This window comes from Homo sapiens, chromosome 10 (assembly GCF_000001405.40).
Source record: "Homo sapiens chromosome 10, GRCh38.p14 Primary Assembly".
Taxonomy (NCBI): domain Eukaryota; kingdom Metazoa; phylum Chordata; class Mammalia; order Primates; family Hominidae; genus Homo; species Homo sapiens.
This window is the reverse complement of record NC_000010.11, coordinates 106,773,714-106,793,629: the sequence shown is the minus strand read 5'-3', so window position 1 is coordinate 106,793,629 and position 19,916 is coordinate 106,773,714. Positions and strand designations below refer to the sequence as shown.

General features: G+C 38.6%; 1 protein-coding gene across 16 annotated transcripts in view; it reads left to right on the top strand.

Moving 5' to 3' along the window:
- SORCS1 (sortilin related VPS10 domain containing receptor 1) overlaps positions 1-19,916 on the top strand; it is a 607,476-nt gene that overhangs the window by 387,509 nt on the left and 200,051 nt on the right. For all 16 annotated transcript variants that reach the window (XM_017015617.1, XM_047424547.1, XM_017015615.3 and 13 more), the window contains exon 4: positions 16,938-17,096. In XM_017015617.1, the coding sequence (XP_016871106.1) occupies positions 16,938-17,096 (159 nt within the window). The remainder of the gene's footprint in view (positions 1-16,937; positions 17,097-19,916) is intronic.

Sequence of the window (19,916 nt, the reverse complement as noted above, 5' to 3'; positions counted from 1 at the left end):
AAACACTCCTCTTAGCTGAACCAATGTAATAACCTCTTAGCTTGAACTTCCTGCCCCCCATTCTCTTGTCTTTAACACAATCTCTGTATTACCTCCAAAGTGATCATTCTGAATGAGCTATACTCTTTCTCTTCCCCTGCTTAAAAATCTTGATTCTGTATGTATGCCCCTGAATAAATAGGTTCTGTTGCTTTAGTCAAAATCGCTTTACCTGGCAAGTAAGTCTCTTTCAACTTGGCTGTAGACTGCTTTGCCTAACTTTAGCCAAACTGAGGAACTTGCCATTACCAAAACATGTAATGCATGCCCGCATTCCTCTGCTTTTGCATACGTGATTCCCCTGTCACGAATCTTTCCTACTTATTCTGTTAAACACCTTTACTTCCTTCAGAACTAATTTTGGTGTCAGGTATTCTGTGGTTACATCTCTTATTCCAGCAATAGGAAAAAAAAGTGCTTTTCCGTGTTCTAGTAAAATTTTGTACATTTCAATAGCTCTGCAATGGTAGTTTCATTGATCTGTTATTTTTGTGGTGTTATCTGTTGTAATAAGGCATTTAGTGTCTTTTTCATTATTTAATCCCAAGTCTTAAGCACAGGGACTGTCACTTGGTTGCAGAAACTTCTTAAATTAGATTTTAAAAAAAATGAAATGAATGGTTGAATGATGAACATCTGCTCATCCCACAAAGAATGAAATTTTCCTCTCAAAAAAGTGATGTTTTTCCAAAAGTCGTGTTTTTCTATTTGTTCTTGAAAGGCCTAAAAAAGGATTCTAAAAATTTTAATTTTTTTGAATATTTATTATATTCATTAAAATATTTTATAGACAAGGCACATAAGGTTCCATTTAGTGTATCACTTATGAATTGAGTGTAACGTGTGTCAAAGAGAGAATTTCTATTTATTTCACATTTTCACTTATGTTTTAGACAAATTTTAAAATGTTGGTTAGTTACTCTATAAGCCCGTGCTTACGAAGACCTGCTTATTATGTGCTCTAATGGTTAAGATGCAGTCCTGGGAAACCAGGTACTTGGGTGTGAGCCATGGAAATGCCAAGGATGCTCTGGAATAATCTTGGAGGAATGATTATGTCTCTCCATGCCTAATTTCACTCTCTTGAGGTTTGTTTCAATTTCCAGTTGGAATATCCTAATTAACATTTGTAAAGCGCTGTGTAATGCTTAAATGAAAAACGTCATGTGAGTATAAAATCTTTTGAAATAGCAGTTTAACAAATTTGAGTTTTTTGTGCAATGAGCTATTTTTTAACATCTTAGAATTTATAAAAGGATAACCAGAAAGGTTTGACTGGGAATTGATGACATAGTACAAAAAGGAGAAATAATGTTTTTCTACAGCTCCTTTATTTCGGGAACGCAATTACTGAAATATGCAGTTTAGAGTTTCTAATTTCTTAATTGTCTTCGAGCTTGAAATACGCACTTGGGATCACCCATGTCTATGTGTGTATAATATGTGCAGAATGCTACTGTGTTGTCTTTTTCCAGAAATGTAGATGAAGATAGAAAGTGTGCATAAGCAGACTTATAAACAGACTATGAAGTAAGAATAACAATGTATACAAATCAATAAGAAAAAGAGACATACCCAGAATTTTAAATGGAGAAAAATATGACCAGTCTGTGTATCAAATGAGGATTTCAAGTGAGTAAACATAAATGACAAAAGGATAAAAGGGAGGGAAAAAGGAATGAAAAAATTCACTGTCATTAGGAATGAAAGTGGTATATATTGACATAAAATACATCTTTTTCTCCAGTCATCTTAGAAAACAATATAAAAAGACAGACAAAACCTAGTGTTGCGATAGGCACTTCCAGTTAAATTAGTATACTCTTCTGAAAAACACTTGGTAGTGTGTATCAAAAGTGGTTGCAAAATTCATATTCTTTTTTTGTTTTTGTCGAAATAATGTCTTGCTCTGTCGCCAGGCTGGAGTGCAGTGGCCCGATCTCAGCTCACTGCAACCTATGCCTCCTGGGTTCAAGCGATTCTCCTGCCTTAGCCTCCTGAGTAGCTAGGACTACAGCTGTGCACCACCACGCCCAACTAATTTTGTATTTTTAATAGAGAGAGAGTTTCACAGTGTTGGCCAGGTTGGTCTCGATCTTTTGACCTCATGATCCATCTGCCCGCCTCGGCCTCCCAAAGTGGTGGGATGACAGGTGTGAGCCACCGTACCTGGCCAAAATTCATATTCTTTATCCATAAATTTCACTACTAGGAAATTACTTGAGGAAATAGTAATTGACATACAGAAATGTTAATCTACATTAATCATAATATTAGTGAAAATTGGAAACCTGGTAAATAAGAGATTAATTACATAGTGGCATATTTGTACAATCAATACTATATCACCAATAAAAATGATAACACAGAAGAATATTGAAAACCATAGAAAATCTTCGAAGTGCGGCTTTAAAGTGGGAAAAGCAGGTTAAAAAGCAGGAAGTGTCACACGACACCCTCTTGCTGTATAAATTTCTCTTTCTCCCACTTTGTGTCTCTTTCTGACACCCATAAACATTTATGTATATGTGTGTATATCTATATATGCATAAAACAAAGATTGAAAACAAATATCAAAGTGTCAGTGACAATAATCTCTGCATAGTGATGCTTAAGTGATTGTTCTTTTATTCTGAGTACGTTTTTGGGGACATTTTTCAAAAATATCTGCAGTTAATGCATATTTTTTCTTGTTCATATGTGAACACAATACCTAAACTTTAAAGCAAATAATATGACTAAATGAAAAGAAACAAAATTATTGTATCTTTGACACAAAGATTCATACCTAGCAAGAGCTAGACATCGGACAAGTAGCTTAAAAACCTGTCCGGCCATCACTAGGAGCACTCTTTGTCTTCATTCTTTTATTCTGAATTTGAAACCAACCCAATAGTCCCATAGACTGTCGTTTTGGATAAACATAGAAATTGACCTTTCTGGTCAATTGAAGCTTGAGGCTTACATTTGTTTTATCTGAGTTCCTTCCTTAGGAAAGGACCTTCAAGCCTCTCAAAAAAAAGTATCAAATAACTGAAACTCACCAGATTACCACATCCTGACAATGAGAAGCTTGGACCCCTCTTTCACTTTGATTGCTTCCTTGCCCTTCCTTAGTTCCTGTTTTCTTACACACGATTACATTTCTTCCCTGCTATATAAACCCCTAGTTTCAGTCAGTCAGGGAGATGGATTTGAGACTGAGTTCCCAGCTCATTGGCTGCAGCACCGGATTAAAGCCTTTTTCCTTGGTAATAACTCATCGTCTCAGTGATTGGCTTTCTGTGTGGTGAGCATCAGGACCTAGAACAAACCTCTGATGTTACAGTAACAAATTGAAGGAATTAAGTCCAGTACCAATTGTTGAGCATCAGGACCTAGAACAAATCTCTGATGTTACAGTAACAAATTGAAGGAATTAAGTCCAGTATCAATTGTTTATGAATTGAGAAGCACCATGATGTGGTTAGGCTTTGTGTCCCTACCCAAATCTAATCTTGAATTGTTATCCTTAGGTGTTGAGGGAGAGACCTGGATCATGGGGATGGTCCCCACCCGACCCTAACTATTCTCATGATAGTGAGTGAGTTCTCAAGAGATCTGATGGTTTTGTGTTTGGTAGTTCCTCTTGCTCACCTCTTCTTTCTCCTGCCGCCCTGTGAAGAGTTGCCTTCTGCCATGATTGTCAGTTTCCTGTGGCCTCCCCAGCCACGCAGAACTGTGAGTCAATTACACTTCTTTGCTTTATAAATTACCTAATCTTGGGCAGTTCTTTAGAGCAGTGTGAGAACAGACTAATACAGTGAATTGGTACTGCAGAGAGTGGAGTACTGGTATAAATTGAAACTGCATAACAGGCAGAGGTTAGAACAGTTTGGAGGGATCAGAAGACTGGAAGATGTGGGAAAGTTTGGAACTTCCTAGAGATTGGTGAATGGTTTTGACCAAAATGCTGATTAGTGATATAAACAGTGAAGTCCAGGCTGAGGTGGTTTCAGATAGAGATGAGGAATTTGTTGGGAACCAGAGCAAAGATCACTCTTGCTATACTTTAGCAAAGAGACTGGTGGCATTTTGCCCCTGCCCTAGAGATCTGTGGAACTTTGAACTTGAGAGAGATGATTTAGGGTATCTGGCAGAAGAAATTTCAAAGCAGCAAAGCATTCAGGAGGAAGCAGAGCATGAATTTGAAAAATTTGCAGTCTGACAATGCAGTAGAAAAGAAAAACCCATTTTCTGGGGAGGAATTCAAGCTGCCTGTAGAAATTTGCATAATTAGCAGGCAGCCAAATGTTAATTGCCAAGACAAGGGGGAAAATGTCTCCAGGGCATGTCAGAGAACTTCATGGCTGTCCCTCCTATCAGAGACTTGGAGGCATAGGAGGGAAAAATGGTTTTGTGGGCCGGGCCCAGGGCACTGCTGCTGCTCTGTGCAGCCTAGGGACTTGGTGCCCTCTGTCGCAGGCGTGGCTGAAAGGGACCACCACACAGCTCAGGCCATTGCTGTGGAGGGTGCAAGTCCTAAGCCTTGGTGACTTCCACATGGTATTGGGCCTGCATGTGCACAAAGTCAAGAATTGAGATTTGGGAACCTCTACCTAGATTTTAGAGGATGTATGGAAATGCCTGGATGTCTTGACAGAAGTTTGAGGCAGGGGCAGAGGCCTCATGGAGAACCTCTGCTAGGGCAGTGCAGAAGGGAAATGGGTCAGTGCCCCCACACAGAGTGCCCACTGGGGCACTGCCTATTGGTGCTGTAAGAAGAGGGCCACCGTCCTCCAGACCCCAAAGTGGTAGATCCACTGATAGCTTGCACTGTGCCCCTGGAAAAGCCACAGACACTCAACACCAGCCCATGAAAGCAGCTGGTGTGGGAGGGGTGCCGTACCCTGCAAAGCCACAGGGGGAGAGCTGCCCAAGACAATGGGAGCCCACCTCCTGCATCAGCATGACCTCAATGTGAGACATAGAGTCAAAGGAGATCATTTTGGAGCTTTAAAGTTTAATGATTGCCCCGCTGGATTTCAGACTTGTGTGGGACCTGTAGCCCCTTTGTTTTGGCCAATTTCTCCCATTTGGTGTGAGCATTTACCCAATACCTGTACCTCCATTGTATTTTGGAAGTAACTAACTTGCTTTTGATTTTACAAGCTCAGAGGCAGAAGGGACTTGATTTGTCTCAGATGAGACTTTGGACTGTAGATTTTCGAGTCAATGCTGAAATGAGTTGAGACTTTGGAGGACTGTTGGGAAGGCATAATTGGTTATTAAATATGAAAAGACATGAGATTTGGGAGGGGCCCAGGGCAGAATGATATGGTTAGGCTTTATGTCCCTACCCAAATCTCATCTTGAATTGTAATTCCTGGGTGTTGAAGGAGAGACCTTGATCATGAGGGTGGTTCCCCTCATGCTGTTCTCATGATAGTGAGTGAGTTCTCATGAGCTCTGTTGGTTTTATAACTGTTTGATTAATTTATCATCCAAGTCATATCTGCATGTCAGTAATAATATTTATGATGGTGCTATAGGAATAAGCCAAGACTTTCAAAGGCAACATGTAATGTATGTTCACCCTATTCATGACACATTCAAAGAAAGCCAAACCATCTATGAACTGTCTTTCATATGATCAAGGCAGCTCTTGAATCAAGATCAGACAACTTTTAAAATGACAGTATCTTCATGAACTTATTCAACTTATCATGAATATGAACCTGGGTCTGAAAATGGCTTTTGTATAGTCACAAAACAGAATTGGAGCTTTTATAATTGGACTTCATGGTAGCCCCTTGATTAGGAATTATTCTGATTGATGAGGATCCTTGCCTATAAGCAATTGTGGTGACTAGCTGTATAAAAGATACTAGGCCAGATCCATAAAAGATCGTGTTGTTTGAAACGGTTTAAAGAAGGCAACATTTTTGTTCCCTTTGCATACAAAATACTTTTGGGGTGTTGAGAAATACCACTGATGTCAAGAGAGCTGATTTTGTGGTTATTTTCTTGAAGTGTGGATTCCCTGTTGGTAATAACTTGGAGCAGATGAGTGTTTTATAGGGTTGGCATAGCAGCAGCAGGAATTGAGCTATGCAGCCAGATGCAAATACAATTTTAAAAAATAATAAAATAAAAATTTTAGATGGTTTTATGTGGGCCTGGGCATGATAAAAATTGAACTTTCTTTATGTTTCTAGAATACATTTACCATTCACTTTCAGACCTAAATGGCCTTTTGTTGTTGTTAGCCCAAGGATACCTGAAAATCATTAGGTTTATTTTAAGATCCATTTTCCAAACTGAAGGGAACACTAAGTATCCTATTTTCAATTTCTGGTTTATGTTGTAAATGATATCAGTGCTTTCTCTGTGAGCATAGAAGAGCAAGGACTACTTTGCTCTTAAGAAACCCATATTTCATGATATCAGATCCTTAATTAAATGAGGGGATTATAATGCCTAGATATAGGTTCTTTTATTAGAGAGTTGCTTAGGCACACTTTAATGGACATTGAACTGGTCTATTCTTCTATAATTTAATCTGGGTAATTTATGTACCCTGAAAATTCACACACTGAAATTACTCAACCTTGGCTCCCTTAATGTCCCTGAGAGGGACTAAACAATGCAATTCACTTGGTCTTCAATAAATACACTTACCTTAATCTGATAACAGATTAGAATTTTTCAGCCTTCAAAAGTTTAAGGTAAGACCCAATGAAAATTCTGGCAACTTCAAGATATCTATATCCCAGGAATTCTATGATTATGAGGACATTTTAATTCATATTGAATATAATAATTACAACTTTTTATCATATCTATTTTTAAAAATTATGTGACAAGTTTTACAGAAGATAGTTGTGGTTACTTATCTTCAATATGGCTTGCTTCTGTGTGTGTGTGTTTGTGTGTGTGTGCGTGTGCATGCTTTTCTTCCCTTGAGAGGTGAAGTCTATTTTTTTCCTCCCATTAAGTCTGGCCCAGAATTCTTTGACCAATAGCATGTGGCAAAATTGATGTCCTGGGTCTTCCAAGGATGGGTCATGCAAAGCTTTGCACCTTCCACTTTAGCCCTTTGGAATACTTGATCTTGGGACATTCACACTGAAGGAAACCACTGCTATATAAGAAATTCAACTATTATGAAACTGCCATGTTATGTGATGTTCAGCCACATGGGGGGTCCTGGAGGATGTGATGTCATGCAGAGAGAAAGGGAGAGGTCCAACCAGATACAGGAATGAAGGAGCCATCTTGGAAGTGAAATATCCAACTCTGGCCACCACAGTTGACATCATGTGGATTTGAGACTACCTACTCAGCTCAGCTTTTCCCAAATTCCTGACCCACAAAATCTTAAACAAAACAAAATGCTTGTTTGAAGCCACTGTTCTGAGATAGATTGTTATACAATACATAAGTAGAATAGAACTCCTTTTCTCTTTAGTATACTATGTCAGTTCTAATGCTTCTGAGGTATGTATATTGAGATAGAATTAAACCTAGAATATGCAGTCATGAAAAAAATCATCTTCATAAAACACCGCACTGCTGTCTTTCCTGCTGTGACTGAAATCCAAAAAGAGAGAGGAAAGCAGCAGATGATGTAATTATGCTCTGACATGTCAATTAAGCACATTGACCCTTTTCCACCTCTCATCAACAACTTGAGATGATCAATGTTTGTCATTAAATAACTGAAGAAGGAAGGAAAATTTTACATGAAATGGACCTCATTGTTAATATGAGAGGCTTCCTCCTGGATGACCCCCTCTAGGCCCATCTTCCAAAGAGCTCTGCAGTAGAGCTGCACCAGGCTATTCTCACTTCACTAATCTGCAAATCCTGTATAAGAGAAATCCCTGGTGGTCTCCGTAGTCTTTTCAGGAAAGCTTTAATAGTCAAATACATTAGCAAGGTCTCACGTGGCTGAGACTTCATTAATCTTCCCCAGTACACCCTAGTATATTTGCCAGTTTATCATGAAGCATTAATATAAGTAAAATTAAAACGTACTTGTTAGTGTAGGAAAGGGAAAAAATTCCCTCTACCCTCTGAGTGCTTTATAATTGAGTCCATGAAATAAACCATCACTGGACAGATTAATAAGAGAACAGGTAAACAAATGTATTACATGTACAGGGGCATCACATGAAAGAAAAGTGAATACCAAAAACCCAGTGAGATCTAAAAGCTTATATGCCCACTTCATAGGAAGGAGGAGAGGAGGGATGTAGGCAATTTAGGGAAAAGTAAATGAATTTTGGGAAAGACAAATGGGCCCTCAGAAGAACAGGTGATAGCGAGTCTGGTTGTAATGTCAACTTCTAGTCTCTTCTGTAATCTGAGTTCATCTTTGGTTGATGAGATTCCTGGGGAAGGAAATTATGACAATTGAGTTATTTTAGATCAGTCTTCAGACAGATAAGGAGAGCTCAGAGAGAGCTCCTGCCAGCATTGGCTGTTCCCCAAGAGCCCTCAGTTTGAGGTAATCAGTGTACCAAAGCAGGGTATTTTGGGGTGGCATTTCCTGAACTCCTTCATTAGGATGATGATACAAATACAGCAAGGGATGAAGAATGTGGATGGATTCTGTTCACTGATTTTTAGAGTGGATTAATGTCTATGGACTTTTCATTTTACTTTCCTGACTTTCAACTTGACACTTATTCAAACTCTAAAGTCAAGTACACAACTTACAGATTTTACCAAAAATGGATTTCCCTCACTTAAATCAATGTTAAGATAGACTGATAGCTTCTCTTTCCTGCTCTCTCTTCCTTCTCACCTGTGTTTCTTTATCATTTCTTGTGGAATAAAGAGATTTCTTATCATTAAATGAACATCATTTCTTGTAAAGTTTCCCATGAGCAAAGAAGATGAATGTCTGTTTCTCTTAGCATCATGGCTCCTTCTGATAGCAGCTAACATTTTAAAATGATGTAACCTTTTGGCATTTATAGACCTTTGGGGATTTAAGAGAGAAGTTACTTTGGGACTTGTAATGTTGATGGAAGTGTGTTCTGATTGGGTTGGAACGGAGGCTATAGGATAATGAGATTTTTAAGGTGGCTCAAATATTCTCAAGGTATTTAATTAGTTCTCATAGTGACTGCAATAATAAAAACATTCTTTGAATGTGTACATCATTATTTCCCTCTGAAATACCATGTTTAGGTTTTTTTTTTTTTTTTTGACGGAGTCTCCCTCTGTCGCCCAGGCTGGAGAGCAGTGGCGCGATCTTGGCTCACTGCAAGCTCCGCCTCCTGGGTTCATGCCATTCTCCTGCCTCAGCCTCCTGAGTAGCTGAGACTACAGGCACCCACCACCACGCCCAGCTAACTTTTTGTATTTTTAGTAGAGATGGGGTTTCACTGTGTTAGCCAGGATGGTCTCGATTTCCTGACCTCATGATCCGCCTGCCTCGGCCTCCCAAAGTGCTGGGATTACAGGCGTGAGCCACTGCACCCGGCCCCAGGTTTAGTTTTTTAAACCAGATGACCCAATGCTAAGCATTAGTGAATATTCCATATTCTGCACTGTCACCTCATATGATATTAATAATAGCAATTTCTCCAGTAAAATGAGTCTGTTTTTTTTTTAAATGACAGTTAAGCATGGGATGCACTTATTAGGAAAATAGTTACACTGTAATAGTTCTTATTTGCTTTAGCATAAACTTCTTTGCGAACTAGCATGTGGGAAAATGTTTCTCCACCAATAAGAACATTACATCAGAGATTTTTGCCCATTCCTATTATCCTTTTCCCATCCATTTTTATGATAAAGCATAAAATCCAATCTACGGAAGAATCATGCTGGAAGGACAAGGTAAAGGAAGCCAGAGCCATTGTGAAAAATCTGGGGTATGAACCATAACTGGCTGTTTTGATCTTCTGACTGTATATTTAAAACCAAGAAATTATCTTTATTTGTTCAAGAATATAGTGTCGTCTTACACTTGTTACTGGAATTCTCCATTATCTTACACCCCATTTCTTCTTGCTGTCTCTTTTTTTTCATCTAGGCAATATTTTTATGAGATATTTGTAATGCCAGATTTAAATCTCTTTCCCTCTCTTTTTTGGAATTCAACTATCATATTTTAGCAGAACATAAAGTACTATATATGTCATCCTTTGTGAGGTAAACGCAATATTTGCACAAAACTTAACAGTGCTTTTGCACAGATAATCTTATCTGATCTTCACACGAATCTCTGCAGGGCATGACATAGATAACCTTACCACTGACTAGCTGTGCAACCTTGAGCAAATTGCCTCATCTCTCTAAGCCCGATATCAAATGGACATAATGATATCTACCTGAAGTAGTTTTCATAAACAATCTGATGGAATAATTTAGTTTAAAGCTTTAGCAGGGAGCCTGATACACAACAGCTCAATAAATGGCAACTTGTTTGTGGTATCACTACTGTCTTCAATGAGGAAACTGAGACTCAAAAAAAGGATTTAATGAGCTATAAGGTATTCAAAGTGGCACAACTGATAATAGCAGAGAAGAAATTCAAATCCGAGTTTTTAAACCCAGGCCCCTTACTATTTCTTGTGATTGTAGCTTACCTTTCTTCTCATGGTGTGAATGACCTTCACTAAGCACACTCCCTTCTTTTCTATTTTGTGAGGAAAAGTACACATTCATGAAGACATTGACTAGAGCCAGGTTTAGGATTAGGTTATGGCTCTTCCTGTGGAACAGAAGTCTGTGGTGCACCAGCCCCATGCTCAGCCCTGTGGATCAACCCGCCATGGAAATATATACGTGGACATATATTTCCTTTATAGAAGTTCAGTGCCATTCACAATGGTGGAAGCAGATTCTTACAGTAAAATAGTGTTTGTACGTTTGGGTTTCTCTAAATTGTCTCAAAGGAGAAGACTATGTTCAGTAGTCCCAAGTGAAATAAGAAGAGATGTCCTATACGTTTTCTTTTTTGAATCATCTTCCAAGGACTGTAACTCATATGTTGTCATTCCTGATAAACCTTACTCATCTTCTATGTACTCTGTGGAATTGGCCAAGAGGTACTGAATGACTCCTCATTATTGTTACAAATAATAATTAATGGGTTGGGTCTCCTGACAAGGCAATTAACACACATATGAAGGACTGAAATTACATGCTCCTTAAAAAAATGTTTCTTCCCAGCCTTACATGGTGGCTCATGCCTATAATCTGAGTGTTTTGGGAGGCCGAGATGGGAGGATCCCTTGAGCCCAGGAGTTTGAGGCTGTGATCATTCAACTGCACTCCAGCCGGGGCGACAGAGCAAGATCTTGTCTTAAAAAATGTTTTTTATGCTTGTTTTTTTCCGTTAAAAAATCTGAGTCTGTGGATCCTCATTAGAAAACCAGTTTGAAATCAAAAGGACAGAATAAACTCTTTAAAATACAATGCCATAGTTTCCCAGTCATTTCACTGAATCACTTTCCAGGTCACAAGCAGACAGTCTGTTGCCTAAATGTTCTGTTCATCTCAGTATTGAATGACGCGATTTTGTGCTAATAAACAAAGATGGCACATAGGTAAGCTTCGCTGAGTTTGGAAGGATGGGATTTAGGAAAATTGGTTGTGTCATTTCCATCTTCTTACAGACTCATTTCTATCAGTGTGTGCTTGATTTGACTCATTTCTATCAGTGTGTGCTTGATTTGAGCTTTTTTCTTTTTAATCCCCTTCCTCCCCTTCCTTCACTGTTTGTATTTCTGTGATTTTCTTTCCATGGTTCATTCTGGGATCCTGTTCAACTTTCCCTAACACTGTCCTCCAAATAGTTGCCAATTGATAAGCACTTAATTGCTCTTTCCCTCAGCTCATCTGGGAAGGATAAGTACTCAGCCCTCATTGAGAATAGGTAGCTTTTCCACCCTCATTGGTCAGCAGATGACTTACTTTCTCTGATTACATTTTGCTTAATTTGATTTTAATTTTGAGATCAGAGGTTTGCAAATAGACTTTTATTCTGTTTATAGAGAGAAATATTTCTGTTTGAATAAAGTGGGTAGCAGTAGATAACTGGAGTGCCTAATTGCTGCTGTTGCTGTTTTTCTTTGCTGTTGTCATTATCATTATGAAAAGCATTTATTATGCACCTGTGATATGGGCATCTGGAGCTGAATTAAGCTCTGAGTAAAGCAAAAGAGATATCCACACAGCAGCCCATTACCTCTGCTTGATTCCAGCCCATTTATGACAAAGAATAGACAAATGAGCCAACAAATAATGAACAACATATAAAATAAATACTTTTTCCATTAGGACCAAAGAAATGGTACGAAAAAGTATATGCCCGGAGGTGGTGAAGAACTTTTTATTAACTCCACGCCACATAAACCAATAAATGGTGGAATTCCAAGAACAGCATATCTAGGAAAAGAATTTGGAAAACTAAATAGTAGCAGCATTCCTCTGGGAAGAAGGCCCGCAGGAGACGACAACTGGAAGGATCAGAAAGCTGCCTGCCAACCTTTTGTAGAATTACTTCCTGTAGCCATATGTTGAATCTGGAGCAAACTAAAGACAGTGAAAGTGCATTTAATTTTTGATGACACTGAGCTGTCAGAAGGACTAATACCAAAAAAAAAAAAAAGGAGAAGTGACGTATTTGAAATCTATAAATTGCATTTCATGTTCATTTGTCTACTCTAGGAAAAGCAAATAAAGTTTCTTCTTCCTTCTGAAGTGGGTGATGAATGATTGCTTGGAGTTGGGTGGTAGGATCCTGTGTTGCCATTATTGACTTTCTATGGAAACAATTCATCTGCAGGTGCAGTCAGTCGGCACACCCTGCAAGGCATAAGTAAACTGGTTCTAATCACTCATGGGTGGAACTGAACAGGGAATAATTACTTTCCTGATAAAGGCAGTGTCTTTCTCTTATCTTCACCTTCCTTGCCTCAAGTAGAACAGCGAGGATTTGCTCAAGGGGACTGGAAATCCCAGTGTTGCAGGGGCCCCTGGCCTGCAGGCAGCAGAAGGCAGGAATGAAAAGGACTCATTCATTTATTCATTCCTTTATTCATTTACAACAGTATGTGGACCTACTATGGAACAAGCTTTGATCCTGGCAGACAATGACCTCTCTTTTTGGAGAGCTTACTTTAGGAATCTGCAAAGCTTGGATTCATGCCTTTTACAAAGGCATGCTAAAATTCTGTTGTCCAGAACATGCTCCAGAATACAGAGAAGTAAACACAACAAAACATTATTTGTTCAAAGTTACATGAAGAGTCAGAAGGGGATAAAGAGTCATTCTAAACTAGCAAAAATAGGGATTGTTAGGCATCTTTAAGAAATGTAATCTATTGTTTTTGAAGAATATTTGCTAATTTGAACTTACTATTTTGAAAATATTTCTGAGCAGAAAATCTTGTGAGAAGATATGACTTATTCATTTATGAACAATATCATCTATGTCTAAAGACTGGATCATATTTATTATTTTCAGTGTTTGTTTCTCAAGTATGTTAAGGCTTTTTTATTTAGATCGCATTAAATTTTTTACTTATTAGCTTATTTATATTTTATTACTGATAAAATGGTAGGACAAACATCAATTCATTTGAAGCAAAATTATTAAAGAATTTGAATTTAAGACTAAAATAATAAGATTTTACTTATTCAATTAACAATTAGGTACATACTATGTTTCAGTCATTACAACAATCATAATTTAATTAATTTGAAGGTTGTGATTAATTGGAGTACATTATACAGTCATGTGTGTTAACGTGTGTGCATTTGTGTGTCTATGGCTCAGTTAAAAATGAATATTTGGGGGGCTGGGCACAGTGGTTCATGCCTGTAATCCCAGCACTTTGGGAGGCTGAGGCAGGCAGATCACCTGAGGTCAGGGGTTCGAGACCAGCCTAGCCAACATGGCGAACCCCATCTCTACTAAAATACAAAAATTAGCCAGGAGGCAGAGGGCAGAGGTTGCAGTGAGCTGAGATTGTGTCACTGCATTACAGCCTGGGCAACAGAGCGATACTCTTGTCTCAAAAAAAAAAAAAAAAAAAATATGGGCCATAATGTCAAACTTAAAAGAAAAAACCAGAATAAAATCCTCAATCCACAATAGGATATAGAGATGTGGATAAAGAAGTAGAAAGAAACACAAACATGGTTTAACTTGCAATGATAGGGTCATGAGTTTGTTTTCTTTTTCTTTTGAATTCTACCAGAGGTCTTATGGAGTTGTTTCTGCAATAAGAAAAATAACTAATGAAAAATGGATCCAGATTGACCTGTTTGTTCTGAGTAGAATTGAACAGAAATTTAAGAGAGCAGCCACTGGAATGTTTCTGTAGTACAGACATACCTATAAAGCTCACCGGGAAATTTCTATTTCCCATTATTTCCAAAATGTCAAATTCTCAGATGGAGAGTTTTAGGTGAGGGCTGCATAGAGAAGGTGGGATTTTGGTCTGCCTATTTTCAACATCCAGAAAAAAAGCCAAAGATACGAGTCGCTTTATTTTTATAATATTAAGTTTCCATCTGTTGGGAAATATGTGCGTTACTCTGCCACTCGCACCCAATATTACCTGATACAGGATGTCTTATGCAGTCTGATCACGTGGAGCATAAATGGGTATCAAAAATACTTTAAAGTGATTGATAAAAATCAGCTTGCTTTGGGAATATTCTGTAGGCCTAGTTTGTAATTGTGTTTAATTTTATTTTGATTAAGTATTCTGCCAGGAGAAGCAGGTGGGGAGATCTATACTCATGGGAAAAGAGGAAAGCATATTCTGGCTAACAGGGAACTAGAAAATCAGAGTGGGGAAGGGAATCACCTTGCCTGAGACAATAGATGTTCTATAAAATTGAGCTTCTTCATATTATCATGGAAATGACTTTTCGGCAGTAGTGCAAAAAGGTTGTTTTACATTATTGTTAATTGTGATTGGAGACACAAAACAATATGATCATTTGATGGCTTATTTGTTATTCAAAAAATGACAGGTTTTATGTATTCATAAATATGAACTCACTTGGAAATATTCCTGTGAATTTAGGAGCCATCTAAATGTACTTGCTTAATGCATACACTAGATTTTAATGAAGCCATATGAGTTTATACTTCGTAGATTACCTGATGGCTCCTTGTCGGCCATCTGATGAGGGAACGCCGTCTGCTTGGTGAATGTGAGACAGAGAAATCCATAACTTTGTCAGAATTTATGGTTGGTGGGCAGTGGCTTTCCTGGAACATGGTACAAGAGGCAATTAGTCTTCAGTTTTGTGTGCGCTTTTCATCTTGTCGGGAGTGTAGCTGATAGCAACAGCATTGCCTTCACCCCATTACATCCCTTTTCTCCTCTTCAAGAAGGGGAGGTTGAAAGAACAGCAAGGAACCTTAAATTCGTCCTGGATAGCATAAACAGAGTTTGGGCAGAGTGTCTGGCATGCAATCCTTTTGTGCCATTTACAGTGACAGGACACCACTTTCAAAGATGACACTAACTGTTCAGAGGCTTTAATATGATTGCCTCCAAATGCTTGAGAAAGCTCCATGTGTTTGCCTGGCACTCTGCTCTTTTAAGATATGATTCTATTCCCCTCTCTCTCTCTTTCTTGGAAGTGCAGCATCCTCAGCTGGTAATCTTTAATCCTTGGGCTGCAGTGATTTCTTTTCATACAGCAACACATTAAACACATATTTCATGCTTCCCTGAACCAAATTCAGAAAGTACCAATTAATAAGTTGATGGGGAAGAGGTCAACGGGTAGCATTAAGGCCACCTGTCTGGAGACATTAGGTGCACACTTTGAATGAAAGACCCACAGAGAGTTGGGAATGAAGTAATTTATCACACATTCGTGAAGGCATAAAATGAGGATTTAAGGCAGTTTCGAAGGCAGCTCCTCCATCTTGCTGCTATTGTGATTGATCCCATTGCTCTGGACAAAATTGGGCATCCCAATGAGACAGTGTAAAACGTCTGAAGCTGTGAATTTTTACGTATTTATAGCTTCTTCTGTGGTGCAGACTGTGCAGAGCAACCAACTTTTCTTTCAGAGAGTTTTAGAGAGTCATGTAGACTTAGAAGTTGTGAAGCTTCCATCCATATCTCAGAGTGTTCTGGGCATCTTTCTATGCATTCATTTATTCATTCATTCGACAAATATTTATCAGTGTACCATGCATACTGGACCTTAGTCTAGCTGCTGGGAATTCATCTGTGAACTATACAGACAGCTATCTCTGTTCGCACAGGGTTTATTTTTTAGTAGAGGTTATATAGACAAGAAACAAAATAAATAAGTAAATTATATAGTAGGCTAGAAGGTGATGAGGGTGGTGGGGTAAAATAGCCTTTGTGAAATTCCTAGAGAAAGCTTTAGAGCCTAGACTGACTTAAGACTCAGAAAATCAGGCTAAGTTTGGATGGCGTAGGAAATCATTGAAGTGGAATGAAAAGATTCGAGGTAGGGAAGAAAAACAATGGACTCCATCCTCTTTCTCTTCCACTTTTCCCACAGCAGACTATAACCAGTCTGTTAATCCCCCAAAATGGAAAGTGCATAAGGCACAGTAGGAAGAAGGGAAGAAGGGTAAGTGTTCCAGGTTCAGGAAATAACCTTGGAAATAAAACAAAGAGTCCCCTAAAAGAGAAGAGAATACAGTTATCTATTTCATCCCTCGTTCTTCCAGCTTCTCCTACTCCCTTCATTTCTTTGTAGAAATATTTCTGTAGCATTGATCCAAGATGGAAAAATAATCCTGACAGAGTCAAGGTCCCTGTTTGGCCAAGCATTCTTTGCCTGCCCCTGTCCTTCCCTTGTCAAAAATTAGCTAATTTTCAAGTTTTGCAAATTTGTAAACTTAATTTTCTGTTGTTTCTTTCTCCAACAATTCTTTGCTGCAGATAATGTTACTCACAGACCCGGAGATTGAGAGCAGTTTATTGATCAGCTCAGATGAAGGGGCAACTTATCAAAAGTACCGGCTGAACTTCTACATTCAAAGCTTGCTTTTTCACCCCAAACAAGAAGACTGGATTCTGGCATACAGTCAAGACCAAAAGGTGAGCATACTTACCTTGTTTGAGACAATGAAGCATGGTTCTCCGGGGAAAATAGTGCTAATTTAATCATCTCTCCATTTCACCTCAGTGATCATTTTTGTTCTGAGCAGTAGCCTGACCTCTGTGCTAATGGGACAAGGGAAAGCAAGGAGAGTCTCAGGTTGCTTGTTTAAATCATGTAAATATCTGAAACCACTTACCAAATAAAGATTAGGTGTACTAAGTAAGACATGGTGGAGAAGCAGTTCTCAGCATAGATGCTTAAGGCAGTCAGGAGCCTCTGACCCCCACTGAATTGGAGACAGTGTCTTATGTTTGTGGATTGGTGATCATTTCTCTTGGTGAAAGACCCATGGCTTTTCTCAAACTCTTAAAGGGAAGCATAACCCTGAAAAGTTTAAGAACACGAAGCAGGGTTGTTCTAAAACACTGAGAGAAATGGCCAGAGGAACAATAATGATGTATATAGGTAACCTTATGCAGAACCTAGTCATCTCAGAACTTTTCTTCACTTGGTGGTAAAGTTGAAGAAGTCCACTTCGTAAGAAAGGATTAAATGAGCTCATGGTATTAGCTGTGTGTGTGTATATGTGCATATGACCCATAAAATGTCATCCTATAATATATATTATGTACTCTATACGACATATATACTATAACATACATATGGTCCCTGCCTTTAAGGAACTTGCTTTCTCAGGTAGAATAAAAGGCTAGCAATAGCTAATAAAATTAAATTAAAATGAAAAGAAACAGCATTTACACAGGCAAATGTGAGAGAGACTCTGGCCATAAAAACCAGAGGGATAATTGGTGAAATACTAGAATACTCCTTGTGAAATGCATTATGCAGTGAAGTCATTCTGAGAATTCTCCTTAGAGGGATCATGAATTAGAAATTATATAAATTTAAAGAAATACTGGACTTAACTAAGTGAGGTGAATATTCTGGGGTTTCATTTGTCTGGGTTTGCATAGATATGTGGCATTTTTGAAGGTAGGAGAATGGTATGAGCAACTTCCCAAGGTCTCTACTGACAGGAGCATTTTAAAGGAAGCAAATTAAAATTCTTAAGATTGGAGTTTTATTCATGCTGCCCCTACTGCCAAATAAAATGCACATTAATCCTAAAAATAGAAAGAATTTACAATTCATTTTTTTTTCCTGTTGAGCAGCCTGGCTACCCTTTCAGCAGAATGTACAATTTTGTTTCTGGAGTCAAGCCACAGTGCATCTGGTCCAGGATGGTGCAATTAACAGAGGCGAAGCCTGACCAGCTCAGACAGAGTATTAGTCATTTAATCCACAGGGTTGTTACATTTTATTCGACAGTTGGTTAATTCCCCCCCACCGATGCCAGAGGCACAGCGAGGACCAGATTTACCTGCCTAAGTAAAAGCTTTGCATCTTTGCAGTTATGCTGGAGGAGATGCCCAAATATGTAACCCTTTCGTTCCCAGCACTTCAAAGAGTGCCTCCCATGGTCACTGTGGCAGAGTGGATGATACAAGACCAGTTAGGATGCCTGGGCTGTGACTTCATCCCAGCTACTTATGGTGAATAGTATTTAGCGTTGGTTTCCTTTGCGTTAAAATGTGTTTGTATGGATAATTATAATTGTAGGTACCCTTCCAAAGTGATTTAAAAAGAAACAAATGTTAGATGCCACATCTCTTTTAAGTGCCATGCATGATACAGTGTTGATATAAAATAACAATATTCTATCCATCTGGAGATAGATGATTAACACATATGAGTTGACCAATAGTTTAAGAGAGGCCACAAAGGCAGTGCTGTCACTGAATATTATATACAAGGGACTGGATGAATTACATTAAATTGGTAGCTCAAAGTTCAGGAGATAGAGATCTAGTGATCTGTCTACTCTAGAAGTCTTACAAAATGACTTCAGCTGGACTTTAATGGATATGTCGGATTTCTATTGTAACAGTAGGGGAGGCCAATTTTTTACAACAGGAATGTCATATACATGAAATTGTAAAAATCACATTTACAAAATTGCAAATTTTTCTATTTGGCTGAAACTAAAATTTGTTATAGCTAGTTATAATTTACACACACACACACACACACACACACACACACTTTGGAACCTAATCCTTATTATTTTTCACTGTTTTGGCTGTTTGATTTTTAGGAAAACTAATTTTTGTTTCCTTAATTAGGAGCCTTCAGAAATTTGCATCCAGAGAATGATATGTTTAGGGCTATAGATTTCAAGCGTTAATCAGTAGTAATATCAGTATAAACTGTGGTAATATGAGGTCAAAAACAAGACCAGTTGGGATGATATTACAGCAGTCCTGGCATCAGATGCTAAGGGTAAGAACCAAAAGGTACCCTTTGTGACCACAGACCCAATGAATCCTGTCATTTTAAAGTTGGAAGCAGTCTTCATTTATTTGTTGTTGTTTTTCTGTATGAGGCCAAGGATCTAAATATCTAAGAGGTTAACACATTTTCTCAAAGGGAAAAATCACTAATTGGTATCACATGTGGATATTCTACAAATGGGGTAAGGGGCTACCTGACGTTTGATAGTGTTCTCATTCTTTTTTTTTTTGAGATGGAGTCTTGCCCTGTCACCCAGGCTGGAGTGCAATGGCGCAATCTGGGCTCACTGCAATCTCTGCCTCCAGGGTTCAGGCGATTCTCCTGCCTCAGCCTCCCAAGTAGCTGGGATTACAGGTGTGTGCCACCACGCCTGGCTAATTTTTTGTATCTTTAGTAGAGACGGGGTTTCGCCTTGTTGGCCAGGCTGGTCTCAAACTCCTGACCTTGTGATCCACCCACCTTGG